At 46.4% G+C, this 13,907-nt stretch overlaps 1 protein-coding gene across 6 annotated transcripts in view, besides 2 other annotated features; it reads right to left on the bottom strand.

Annotated features, from left to right (window-relative positions):
• RNF185 (ring finger protein 185) overlaps window positions 1–13,907 on the bottom strand; it is a 46,838-nt gene that overhangs the window by 15,957 nt on the left and 16,974 nt on the right. For 4 of the 6 annotated variants that reach the window (NR_024210.2, NR_024211.2, NM_152267.4 and 1 more), the window contains exon 2: window positions 3,793–4,016. The exons of 1 other annotated variant lie outside the window; for it this stretch is intronic. Coding sequence is in view for 2 of the 5 variants with exons in the window: in NM_152267.4 (NP_689480.2) it covers window positions 3,793–3,968 (176 nt within the window). In the remaining 3 variants the exon portion in view is untranslated. Of the gene's footprint in view, window positions 1–3,792; window positions 4,017–7,996; window positions 8,095–13,907 lie in introns of all 6 variants that reach the window. One more of the 6 variants, NR_024209.2, reaches the window with a different exon arrangement.
• Window positions 6,406–6,918: an enhancer, noted in NCBI's record as "H3K27ac hESC enhancer chr22:31580131-31580643 (GRCh37/hg19 assembly coordinates)". NCBI's record gives its function as "activates a minimal SCP1, AML or CMV promoter by ChIP-STARR-seq in primed H9 embryonic stem cells {active_cell/tissue: H9 hESC(primed)}" and the evidence as "EXISTENCE:reporter gene assay evidence [ECO:0000049][PMID:30033119]".
• Window positions 6,919–7,432: an enhancer, noted in NCBI's record as "NANOG-H3K27ac hESC enhancer chr22:31579617-31580130 (GRCh37/hg19 assembly coordinates)". NCBI's record gives its function as "activates a minimal SCP1, AML or CMV promoter by ChIP-STARR-seq in primed H9 embryonic stem cells {active_cell/tissue: H9 hESC(primed)}" and the evidence as "EXISTENCE:reporter gene assay evidence [ECO:0000049][PMID:30033119]".

The raw sequence follows: 13,907 nt of genomic DNA, 5'->3' as shown, positions 1-13,907 counted from the left end.
AGTGTACTTACACAAACCTAGCTGAAATAGCTTACTACACACCTAGGCTACATAGTATAGCCTATTGCTCCTAAGCTACAAACCTGAATAGCATGTGAGTATCATAGGTAACTGTAACAGAGTGGTAAATATTTGTGTATTTAAACATACCTAACATAGAGCCAAGGTGTGGTGGCTCATGCCTGTAATCCCAGCACTTTGGGAGCTGAGGTGGGCAGATTATTTGAGGTCAGGAGTTCGAGACCAGCCTGGCCAACATGGTGAAACCCCATCTCTATTAAAAATACAAAAACTAGCCATGTGTGGTGGCACATGCCTGTAATCCCAGCTACATAGGAGGCTGAAGCACGAGAATCACTTGAACCTGGGAGGTGGAGGTTGCAGTGAGCTGAGATCGTGCTACTCAATCTGGAGTGCTACTGCACTCCAGCATGGGTGACGCAGTGAGACTCCATCTCAAAAAAAACCAAAAACCAGGCTGGGCGTGGTGGCTCACGCCTGTAATCCCAGCACTTTGGAAGGCTGAGGCGGTTGGATCACCTGAGATCAGGAGTTCAAGACCAGCCTGGCCAACATGGTAAAACCCCGTCTCTACTAAAAATACAAAAATTAGTCAGGTGTGGTGGCACGTATGTGTAATCCCAGCTTCTCGGGAGGCTGAAGCAGGAGAATCGTTTGAACCTGGGAGGCAGAGGTTGCAGTGAGCCAAGATCACGCCACTGCACTCCAGCCTGGGCAACAGAGTGAGACTCCTCAAAAAAACAACAAACAAACAAACAAAAAATCCAACATACCTAACACAGAAAAGGTAACGCACTGCTCTATAACATTTTAAAATCACTAGATTATAGGAACTTTTCAGGTCCATCATCATCTTATGGAACCGCTGTTGGATATGTAATCCATTGTTGACCAAAATGTCATTATGTACTGCATGACTGTACTGTGTGCCACGCTGTGGCTGAATACCTTTTCATTTCTTAATGTCACTGGACGGTCACATTAACCTATGAGGCAGTACCATCATCTCCATCTTACAGATGAGGAAACCAAAGTACAGGGAAGCTAGCAGATTTGCTCAGGGATGCACCATCCAGACTGGAAGCATCTGTTTCATTTTAGAGTCTGTGTTCTTTCCAATGGCATTCTGCCTTTAAAAAAAAAATTGATAGCAGGCATGGTGGCTCACACCAGTAATCCCAGCACTATGGGAGGCCGAGGCGGGCAGATAACGAGGTCAGAAGATCGAGACCATCCTGGCCAACATGGTGAAAACCTCTCTCTACTAAAAATACAAAAATTAGCTGGGTGCACCTGTAATCCCAGCTACCCGGGAGGCTGAGGCAGGAGAATTGCTTGAACTTGGGAGGCAGAGATTGCAGTGAGCCGAGATTGTGCCACTGCACTCCAGCCTGGTGACAAAGCAAGACTTCGTCTCTAAAAAAAAAAAAAAAAATTTGACACAGGGCCAGGCATGGTGGCTCACGCCTGTAATCCTAGCACTTTGGGAGGTCGGGGTGGGCAGATCACTTGAGGTGAGGAGTTTGAAACCAGCTTGGCCAGCATGGCGAAGCCCCATCTCTACTAAAAATACAAAAAGAAAATTAGCCGGGCGTGGTGGTGCATTCCTGCAGTCCCAGCTACTTGGGAGGCTGAGACAGGAGAACCACTTGAGCCCAGGAGGCAGAGGTTGCAAGTGAGCCAAGACTGCACCACTGTACTCCAGCCTGGGCAAGAGAGCAAGGCTGTCTCCACAAAAAAAAAAAAAAAAAAAAAAAAAAAGATATACAACAGCTGTACATTTAAATATATGTATAGTTAATATATACATAAAATACATAATTTATAATCTTAAAATTTATAATTATAAAATTTAATAAATACATACACAAACACAAACACACACACACACACACACACACACACATTTTTTTTTTGAGACAGAGTCTTGCTCCATCACCCAGGCTGGAGTGCAGTGGCGCGATCTCAGCTCGCTGCAAGCTCTGCCTCCCGGGTTCACGCCATTCTCCTGCCTCAGCCTCCCCAGCAGCTGGGACTACAGGTGCACTCCACCACACCCGGCTAATTTTTTTTTTTTTTTTTTTTTAGTAGAAACGGGTTTCACCGTGTTAGCCAGGATGGTCTCGATCTCCTGACCTTGTGATCCGCCCACCTTGGCCTCCCAAAGTGCTGGGATTACAGGCGTGAGCCACCGCGCCCAGCCCAGAATATATATATATTTTTAAGAGACAGGGTCTCTCTCTGTCGCCTAGACTGGAGTGCAGTGATACAATCATAGCTCACTGTAGCCTCGAATTCCTGGGCTCAAGCCTTCCTCCCACCTCAGTCTCCCGAGTAGCTAGGACTACAGGTACCGCCACCATGCCTGACTAGTTTTAAACATAGTGGGGCCTCACTATGTTGCCCAGACTCATCTTGCACTCCTGGGCTCAAGTGATCCTCCCACCATGGCCTCTCAAAGTGTTTGGATTACAGGTGTGAGCCACTGAGCCCAGCCATAATAGCTGTACACATTTTTTATGTTATATGTGATAATTTGATACATTCACATAATCAAATCAGGGGTATCCTGTCTTTGAATTCTTAATTTTGTCAATCATTTCAAGTCCTGGTTTTACGATACCCTGAAGTATCCTGAATTTCTAGGAGAATGTGGATCACAACAGCTTTTACACAAGATGGTAATTAGGGCAAGAGCCTCAAGAACAAAAATCTCTGCTCCATTCTATTTATTCACCAATAAATTGATGTTTTACGCTGTTGCCAACTTAAAATCCCTTAAATATTGTTTAAACGGCCTTTTCTTCACACGATTTCTCTGCTCAAAAATATTCATTACCTCTATGTCCCTTTAGTCGAATCTGGGTTTGATAATCTGGCTCAACACTACTGTAACCATTATTTTTCCTAACACTCCCAGACCCTCATCCAGAGTGCTGTGAGAGGTATACAGTAGCCTCAAGGGTCTCAGATGAGTCCAACAGTGCATGTGCCTGTCCCTAGAAACTCCCTGCCTTGGAGTGACACACACACCCTTCGCCTTTACCTAGCATTTTTTGATCGACCTTTCAAGGTTCAGCTCAAAATCTCAAGACAAAAAAAAACACACACACACACACAAAAAACCAAAATCCGACCTTCACCTAGCACCTAGGTTCTCAGAGCCAGAAAGGGCTCCTGTAACCGTCAAGGCTGGAACAGACACCGACCTTGACACTTCATTTTGATGAGTGTATCTATCTATATATAAACATAAAATATAGTAACAATTATAGTCATAGCTAACACATAGTATTTACTGCAAGCTATGTGCTCTTCTAAGCCTTTTACATATTTTGAGTCATTTAATGCTTGCAAACGACCCTGTAAAATGAGGCAGAATGTGTGTAAGTACCTTGTCCAAGGTCAAACAGGAAGGTGGCAGAGTCAAGCTTCAAAAGGAGGAAGCCCAGTTCCACAGTCCTTGCTTATAACCATTATGCTATACTGCCTCTAGGCTCAGCACAGCAAGTAGCAGGTAGTAAGTGCTCACTAAATGGTAAGTATTATTACTTTAGAGATGGGGAGAACGAGCTTAGAGTGGAGACAGGATTTGCCCAAGGTCATCCAGCTCATTGGTAGCAGAGCTGGGATGGGAACTCAGGTCTCTTGTCCCTTGAGCCTGAGTGTATTCCCAAAGTGAGCAGGAAGCATTCTGCTCCAAACCACCCAGGGCCACAGGCTTTCCAAACTTGGCAATGTGCTCTCTGGGGTGGAAGTAGGGGTACTGACCAGAAGAGGTGGCCACACAGGCTGATGACGGCATCCTTGGCTGTGTCCAAGCAGATGTTGCACTCGAAAGTGCTGTCCTGCCCTCCGCTCTCGCCAGCGCCATTGCTGCTCCCACTGGGCCCCCCTGCACTGGAGTTCTCAGGAGATGCAGAGGCCGAGGGCCCCTTGCTTGCCATCCTTGGCTGTCAGCGAAGCTCTGAGTGAAGACTTTCCCCAGGGAAATCCTAAAAGGCAGAGAACTCTTGACTGTCCATTTCTGCAGCCCTCTCCCCCCAGCTTCCATGCCAACATTCCTGTCTTCTCTAGGCTCCAGAGCTGATTATGACTGAATCCCTGAGCAGACTTCCCAAAGCGCTACAGAAGACAAGAGTTGTAGGGCACTACCCAAAGGGCAGTGACCCAGAAACTTCTCATGAATATGGTCCAGAATATATCACACAGATACGCAAACTCCACCAAATACAGAGCAGCCTCCAGATGGTTCTCCACAGGAACCAGGACCTTGTCTCACTTGTCTTTAGATTCCCCCATGACAATCAACCCAGGTGACAAATACATGCTACATTAAATGGAATGTTCAGGCTGTCCAGCCTCTATATTGATGGGTGAATCTGCTGAGGCAGGAAGGTTGTGATTGTCATATGCCAGAACATATATATATATTTTTAAGAGATGGAGTTTCACTCTGTCGCCCAGGCTGGAGTGCAGTGGCACAATCTTGGCTCACTGCAACCTCTGCCTCCCAGGTTCAAGTGATTCTCCTGCCTCAGCCTCCCGAGTAGCTGGGATTACAGGTGCCTGCCACCACACCTGGCTAATTTTTGTATTTTTAGTAGAGATGGGGTTTCATCATGTTGGCCAGGCTGGTCTTGAACTCCTGACCTCAGGTGATCCACCTGCCTCAGTTTCCCAAAGTGCTAGGATTACAGGTGTGAGCCACTGTGCCCAGCCCATACGCCAGAATATTAAGAAATTCCTGTAACTATGAAAGGATAGGAAGCTAATAAGGACCAGAAAGATCATCTGGTCCAAGGTCTTCCATATTGCAATCTTTTTCAATCCTCCTTCTGCCACATTGGAATACTATTCACCTTATTTTATCTAAATATATCAACTTTTTAGCCTCAGTACATTTAAAGAAGAGGTTTATGTCACTGTAATAAATGGAAAACCAGTAATACTTACCATAAGTAAAAAGGTTAATATAAAAGTAACAAATGAAAAGTTTACCCTCATACCACCTGACATCACCTGGCACACTCATACTATGTTTTGGACAATCTTGATCTGGTCCAATTTCTTTAGGAAACTGCAGTTACCTTGGCTAGCTGACTAATGTGGGGCTGAGACTGGGACTCATGGACACCCTGTTTGCACCGTACCACTACATACTAAACTGGCCACTAAATGCTGGTATAAACAGACCACTGTTGACCACCACCTCCAAGTCAAAGAACCCAGCCAGGAGTTGAACAAGAAAGAGGATAAAACCAACACCAAGGGATACCCAGGAATTCTGGATGCACATTAACAATCTGTCAGGAGCCTTATCTGGCCACCCTCATCACCTCAGAAATTCCAAGTAGGAAATGTTCGCTGGCTACCACAGTCAGAGAAGTGGAGGCCTGGATACTGGACTCAGCCTCTAGCTTGCTAGGTGGTTCTGGGAACCTCCCTTTCCCTCTACTGATCATAATTTTCTCATCTGTAAAATGAGGCACTGGACTCCCTGGTGTCCTGGGTGGCCCCCTCCAGCTCTTAGACTGTGCCTCTCCAGGTCATCTTAACCTACTGTTACCTCCAAAACAAGCGGCCCCTTCACAAATTTAGGACTTACCACTGGAACACCAGAAGGTCACCCTGATGTCAGCTTCCAGAGTATGAGAAGACAAGGACCAAAAAAGTTACAGCCTTCTCAGACCCAGAAAGCTTCCTGCCTTCACACGGTGGACTCAGAGCTCTGGCCTCATGAGTATCCCTCACCACGATACCAGCTCAGTGACTTGAGCAGAGAGAGGAGGCCAGCTCACCACTTTTTCACTCAGTTACATCATTTTACATAATGTCCCAGAAGGGTAGCTGGATGCTGGTGGCACCAGTTTCGTGCGCTGGCCTCGGCTCCAAGACCTTCTCTCTGACCTTCCTCTTCTTCATATTACATGTGCTCTCTTCATCTTAGGATAAAACCCACTTTTGAGGGCCACATTACTATCTTTCCTCATTATTCCAGCTCAACAATCAATCCTAAGTACCCAACCTATGTGTGTTTCTTTTTAAAAAAAAAAAAAAATCTTAAAAAATTAAAAATTGCTCTCCCTCCCCCTCCCCCTCCCTCTCCCCTTTGCACGGTCCTCGTCTCCCCTTTGCACGGTCTCCCTCTGATGCCGAGCTGAGGCTGGACAGTACTGCCGCCATCTTGGCTCACTGCAGCCTCCCTGCCTGATTCTCCTGCCTCAGCCTGCCGAGTGCCTGGGATTGCAGGCGCGCGCCGCCACACCTGACTGGTTTTCATATTTTTTGGTGGAGACGGGGTTTTGCCGTGTTGGCCGGGCTGGTCTCCAGCTCCTGACCGCCAGTGGTCTGCCAGCCTCGGCCTCCCGAGGTGCCAGGATTGCAGACGGAGTCTCGCTCACTCAGTGCTCAATGTTGCCCAGGCTGGAGTGCAGTGGCGTGATCTCGGATCGCTACAACCTCCACCTCCCAGCCGCCTGCCTTGGCCTCCCAAAGTGCCGAGATTGCAGCCTCTGCCCGGCCGCCACCCCATCTAGGAAGTGAGGAGCGTCTCTGCCTGGCCGCCCATCGTCTGGGATGTGAGGAGCCCCTCTGCCCAGCCGCCCAGTCTGGGAAGTGAGGAGCGCCTCTCCCCGGCGGTCATCCCGTCTAGGAAGTGAGGAGAGTCTCTCCCTGGCCGCCCATCCTCTGGGATGTGGGGAGCGCCTCTGCCCCGCCACCCCGTCTGAGATGTGAGGAGTGCCTCTGCCAGGCCGCGACCCCGTCTGGGAACTGAGGAGTGTCTCTGCCCCACCGCCACCCGTCTGGGAGGTGAGGAGCGTCTCTGACCTGCCACCCTGTCTGAGAAGTGAGGAGCCCCTCTGCCCGGCAGCCGCCCCGTCCGGGAAGTGAGGAGCGTCTCTGCCCGGCAGCTGCCCCGTCCAGGAGGTGGTGGGCAGCCCCCGCCCGGCCAGCCGCCCCGTCCGGGAAGGGAGGGGCAGCCCCCGACCGGCCAGCCGCCCCGTCCGGGAGGTGGGGGGGGGCAGCCCCCGCCCGGCCAGCTGCCCCGTCCGGGAGCTCGGGGCAGCCCCCGCCTGGACAGCTGCCCCGTCCGGGAGGTGGGAGCCCCTCTGCCCGGCCGCCACCCCGTCTGGGAGGTGTACCCAACAGCTCATTGAGAACGGGCCATGATGACAATAGCGGTTTTGTCGAATAGAAAAGGGGGAAATGTGGGGAAAAGAAAGAGAGATCAGATTGTTATTGTGTCTGTGTAGAAAGAAGTAGACATAGCAGACTCCATTTTGTTCTGTACTAGGAAAAATTCTTCTGCCTTGGGATGCTGTTAATCTATAACCTTACCCCCAACCCCTGCTCTCTGAAACATGTGCTGTGTCCACTAAGGGTTAAATGGATTAAGGGCGGTGCAAGATGTGCTTTGTTAAACAGATGCTTGAAGGCAGCATACTCGTTAAGAGTCATCACCACTCCCTAATCTCAACTACCCAGGGACACAAACACTGCGGAAGGCGGCAGGGCCCTCTGCCTAGGAAAACCAGAGACCTTTGTTCACATGTTTATCTGCTGACCTTCCCTCCACTATTGTCCTATGACCCTGCCAAATCCCCCTCTCCGAGAAACACCCAAGAATGATCAATAAATACTAAAATTAAAAAAAAAAAAATTAAAAATTATGCATATAGATTTTGGAAAGACAACCATAAAGTCAGATCAGTCACATCAGCCTCCTGATGTGATGCAACAGAAGTACACAGCACCACCAATGAAACATGTTTGCGTTAAAACTCAGACACTGATCAAGCATCTAAAATGAATTACCAGCCAGGCATGGTGGCTCACGCCTGTAATCCCAGCACTTTGGGAGGCCGAGGCAGGTGGATACCTGAGATCAGGAGTTCAAGACAAGCCTGGCCAACATGGTGAAACCCTGTCTCTACTAAAAACACAAAAATTAGCTGGGCATGGTGGCACACACCTGTAATCCCAGCTACTTGAGAAGCTGAGGCATGAGAATCGCTTGAACCCGGGAGGCGGAGGTTGCAGTGAACTGAGATTGTGTCATCGCACTCCAACCTGGGTGACAAGAGAGAGACTCCATCTCAAAAATAATAATAATAATAATAATAATAATAAATAAAATAAATTACCTATTTACAGAAAATATGGAGGATAGGTGCAAGTATTAAACGACTCCATGAAGATGTCATCAGCCAAATCCAGAATGTGGGACTTTCTACAGGACAAACAATAAAGTTCTACAAAAAATAAATAGCATGGACAGGATTGGGGTTATAGATTGAGATACGAGATATTCCAACCACTTGTAGTATGTGGGTCTTATTGGAACAAGATTCAAACAAACCAACTGTACAAAGACACTTGTGACATGATTGACAAAAACTGTTTAGCCTAGGTATTACTCGATATGAAGGAATTATTGTTGGCTGGGCATGGTGGCTCATGTCTATAATTCCAGCACTTTGGGAGGCCAAGGTAGGTGGATCGCTTGAGCTCAGGAGGTGGAGACCAGCCTGGGCAACATGGTGAAACCCTATCTCTACCAAAACAAAATAAAACAAAACAAAAATTAGCTGGGTGTGGTGGTGCATGTCTATGGTCCCAGCTACTCCAGAGGCTGAGGCAGGAGAATCGCTTAAGCTTGCGAGGCGGAAGTTGCAGTGAGCCAAGATTATACCACTGCATTCCAGCCTGAGTGACATAGTGACTCTGTCTCAAAAAAAATAAATAAATAAAAATAAAAAATTAGCTGGGTGTGGTGGTACACACCTGTAGCCCCAGACAGTCAGGAGGCTGAGGTGGGAGGATCACTTGGGCCTGGGAGGTGGAGGCTGCAGTGAGCCGTGATTGTGCTGCTGCACTCCAGCCTGGGTGACAGAGTGGAAACCCTGTCTCAAAAAAAAAAAAAAAAAAAGGAATTACTGTTAATTTTGTTGGGTATAATAATGATATTGTGTTTTTTTTTTTAAACAAAACCTGATCTGCTAGAGACACATTTTTTTAAATATATATATATTTTTATTATACTTTAAGTTCTAGGGTACATGTGCACAACGTGCAGGTTTGTTACATATGTATACATGTGCTATGTTGGTGTGCTGCACCCATTAACTCGTCATTTACATTAGGTATACCTCCTAATGCTATCCCTTCCCCCTCCCCCCACCCCACAACAGGCCCAGGTGTGTGATGTTCCCCTTCCTGTGTCCAAGTGTTCTCGTTGTTCATTTCCCACCTATGAGTGAGAACATGAGGTGTTTGGTTTTTTGTCCTTGCGATAGTTTGCTGAGAATGATGGTTTCCAGCTTCATCCACGTCCCTACAAAGGACATGAACTCATCATTTTTTATGGCTGCATAGTATTCCATGGTGTATATGTGCCACATTTTCTTAATCCAGTCTACCATTGTTGGACATCTGGCTTGGTTCCAAGTCTTTACTATTGTGAGTAGTCCCGCAATAAACATACGTGTGCATGTAGAGACACATATTTTTGAAGCAATACAATGTTTGGGATTTGCTTTAAAATACTCCAGGGGAAAAAAATAAAAATGGAGAGAAAAGATGAAACAAGAACAAGGAAGTTGGTTGTTGAAGCTGGGTGATGAATGGAGGTTCACTGTAATAGTCTGTGTGTGTGTTTGAAAATTACAATAAAAGGTATTTTTTTTTTCTTTTTTTTGAGATGGTCTCGCTCTGTTGCCCAGGCTGGAGTGCAGTGGTGCAATCACAGCTCACTGCAAGCTCAACCTCCTGGGCTCAAGCAATCCCCTGCCTCAGCCTCCCAAGCAGCTAGGACTACAGGTGCACACCACCATGCTCAGCTAATTTTTAAATTATTTTGTAGAAACAAGGTCTATGTTGCCCAGGGTAGTCTCAAACTCCTGGGCTCAAGCAATTCTCCTGCCTCAGCCTCCCAGTGAGCCACCATGCCTAGCCCCAATAAAAGGTATTTTTTAAAAAGATTAAGTTGTAGAAGAGTATGTATATAAACTTATTTGGGTAAAAACTAAGTATGTATATGAGTATGTATGTGTGTGGATCCATACACAGACAGACAGGCAGACACACACACACACACACACACACACACACACACACACACACAGAGAGAGAGAGAAAATGCCTAGAAAATACACATTAAACCATCAACAGTTATTTCTGGGATTATAAGGGCTAGGAGACATTGAATTATTATATTCTTACCCTGTTTCAATGTTTTATAACAAATAAGTATTACTTTCACAAGAACATTTTTAAAAAGGAAATCATAAAATGTGAAGTATTTTACATATGTTACAATAATGAATATAGGTATTAGAAAATGGCTTTAGGCCAGGCATGGTGGCTCATGCCTGTAACCCTAGTACTTTGGGAGGCCAAGGTAGGAGGATTACTTATGCCCAGGAGTTTGAGGCTGCAGAGAGCTATGAATGTACCACTGCACTCCAGCCTGGGCAATTAGAGCGAGACTCTGATTGTATTAAAAAAAAAAAAAAAGTCTTTAACAATGTGGAAGAACATACTCAACTGTATTACTTTTTTTTCTTCTTTTTTTTTGAGACAAGTCTCAGTCTGTCACCCAAGCTGGAATGCAGTGGTGTGATCTCGGCTCACTGCAACCTCCACCTCCCGGGTTCAAGCAATTCTCCCTGCCTCAGCTTCCTGAGTAGCTGGGCTTATAGGTGCCCACCACCACGCCCAGCTAATTTTTGTACTTTTTAGTAGAGACAGGGTTTCGCCATGTTGGCCAGGCTGCTCTTGAACTCCTGACCTCAGGTGATCCACCCACCTCAGCCTTCCAAAGTGCTGGGATTACACGTGTGAGCCACTGCACCCGGCCTTTACATGTATTACTTTTGAAATCAGTCAAAAGAATAATAATACATAAAATTTCCTACCCCCCACCCCCCCGCCATGTTCTGGTTTCCACCCCATGTTCTGGTTTTCCCCAATCCTGAAAGTTCTGAGTTCAAGTCCTGGTTCCATCACTGACTGTCCATATGGCCACGGTAGATCTCTTGATGATTTGAATCTCTTTTCTCACCTGAAAAGTGAGAGTATCATGCCTCCTACATGGCTACTGAGGTGGCCTTATGAAATAACACAGTGACCTGGAGGGCCCTCCAAGGCAGGACAGGGCTGTTGCTGTTGGGGAGGCACACATTTCATACCATGTAACCTGGTCCACTGCCACCCCACTTCGTGGACCCAACAAAGCTGTGCATGGCCCATACTCCTACACACAGGCATGAGGGGACAACCAGGATCAAGGTAGGTGTTGGAGTAGGAATGGTTAAGGGACAGTAACAGGTCAGCTCAGAGTTTGCAGGGAGTGGCAGCCTTGTGCCAGGCCAGGCACTGAGACAGGCCTGCATGTCCCAACTGTAGGCAGGCCATATCACTCTCCTTGTAAATCTTAGTAGACACCACATGGTCCCCACCCAGGATCTACAGCCTCATCCTAGCAGGCACTCAAATATTTGCTGAGTGAGGATGGGCACGCATGACTGACTTTGGTCAACTCCCAGCTGGCTGGTCACCAACTTTTCTTTGTAACATATTCTGGGCCCCACAGCTGCATACTCATCCCTGGAGCCACCTCTTCTCACCTTCTCCTACACCTATGCACAGGAATCTCAGTACACCAAGGTGGCATGGCAGAAATCAGCAGCTTCCCCTGGGGATTGTCTACTGAGCACCTACAGAACCATATGGGTCTACCAGGACTGGGACAGTGGCCCAAAACATAGAGGTTCCTGATCGGCTCAGGAACTAGGCAGAAAGAGAATCAGGTCCTGAGCATACCTATATGGCCATCCTGCTAAAATTTCTCATGGTCCCTGTAGAAGCTATAGACTTTCACCTAACCACAGAGCAACCTTGTTGTGGCTAGTTCTGTGCCTCTGTCCCTACCCTGACCATTCTTTTCTCCTGACCAGAATCCACTCTCTAGTTTTCAAAGCATTTCACATCTATCGCTGCATTTTATCCTCATGCCATTTTACAGATGAGGACACTGGGCCAGGGACATTAGAGGACTGCCTAAGGCCAGGACACCACGCAATGCCAAATTCAGACTTCCTAACACAATATTCAGCACTCTCTTCATTCTTATGTTTTTCTATTAACATGCTGCTTTACAAAATTAAATACCTGGTTTTTGTCTTCCCTCAAATTTATCGTGCAATGTTGTAACTTTTGTGCTGTTTGAAATGAGTACAGAGTAAATTAATCACTCATCCACTTATTCATTCAACCAACCAGCAGTTTTCCAATGCCAATTACATTTGAGGTCTGGTGCTACCAACTGTGGAGGAGTTACAAAGAGGAATAAGACCAAGTTGAGGTCTTGGAGTCTAGTACAGGAGCTGAAGGCACATAGATTAATTTTAAGAATTCTAAACAAGGGGCTCCATCAAACTCACCTGTTTTTCCTTTCGTTGTTGTTTTTGCCTGTTTTTCTTAAACAAAGCATCCTCTCACCCCACGAAAGATCTGGTTCCCAGATCCCTTCAGAGATTTAAATAGGATCTGGACCTAGATCAGGCCTAAGAATCTGTATGCTTTTAATGTAGCCCTCACTTTCTACCCTAGATGATTCTCTAATTAACAGAGTTTTGGAAACCCAGCTCTAGAAGAGGGTACAGCTCTATCAATAGCACAAAGCAATACCAACAAAATACAGTATTTTAGAAGGACAGAAACCTCAGGGCCTATCCAGCTACAATCCACAGGGACTACAGAGAGGTCAGATAAACTTGGGGGGTAAGGGACAAATCTGCTGAATTCAGATTAATCAGCATTTAGTCCAACTGGAACACAGCTGATCATTTTAAGAAATAAGTTCACACCTAGTTTTAAAAAACAGTCCTAACTTTGAGATGTCCAGGGCAACACATGTGGTGCTGGGACTAACGCGGATTTGCAATACTTAATGATCCTGTAGGAACACAGAGCCTGGCGGCTGAAGTTGACTGACCCAGTATCTTCAATATATTACCTTCCCAGAGCTGGCCTTTGGTCTACTTGGTCTGGCCCACCTCACAGGAATTGAGCAAGAAAGAGAACACGAGAGTTGAATATCCCTGCAGGAACCACCAGGGAACTTGATCTCATGAGGAAATTTCTCTGTAGCATTCTTAAATTCAATTATCAAGTTCTAGAGAACTGTAGGAATTCATCATCTGCCTTTTCTGTCCCTTTAACTCCAAGAATTTCTAGACCAGGGTGTAGTGAGACACCTAGAAATGTTAATCTTAGATATGAAGACTATGAATTTGGGTGATAAATAACAGGCATGATCCCAGCAGAGGTCTCATTTCTGTGAGCACATGCTTATTCACACAGAAGCTTTCTGCCAGGAACCCTGGCATGCCTGAGCCTGTCTACGCTGCTCATTAGACTGCTGCTGGACCACACGTAGGCAGAAATGGGACCTGCATTCCAAGAATGTCTACATCACACTCATAGAAGGCTGGAATGGGAAGAACTCTGAATAAGTTTATTGGAACTTGGAAACACATAAACCAGCTTTGAAATTTTAAAGTCTAAGTGGTGTTTAGGTTCCTAGGCTAGCCCATGGAGATTTGGCCCTCAAATACAGGATCAGAAGAACAGAGAAGGCTGAAAGGACTGGCTTCTTTTCATTGGGGCTGCACTGGTCCTTTTCTCTGGTTCCCTCTAATCTTCCTATCTACTTAGTAGATAGGAATGAATCTTCAAAGATTCATTAAAGATCCTATTATTTGCCAGGCATTCAAGATACAGAAATAAAACTTTTTTTTCAGTCTAAAGGGAGACACAGACAAGTGAACCAACAAGGCAACCCAGTGTACTGGGAACTGACAGAAGTGTGTACATAGTAC

This window comes from Homo sapiens, chromosome 22, assembly GCF_000001405.40.
Source record: "Homo sapiens chromosome 22, GRCh38.p14 Primary Assembly".
NCBI lineage: Eukaryota > Metazoa > Chordata > Mammalia > Primates > Hominidae > Homo > Homo sapiens.
The sequence above is the reverse complement of the archived record's forward strand: the minus strand, read 5'-3'. Positions and strand labels throughout refer to the sequence as shown.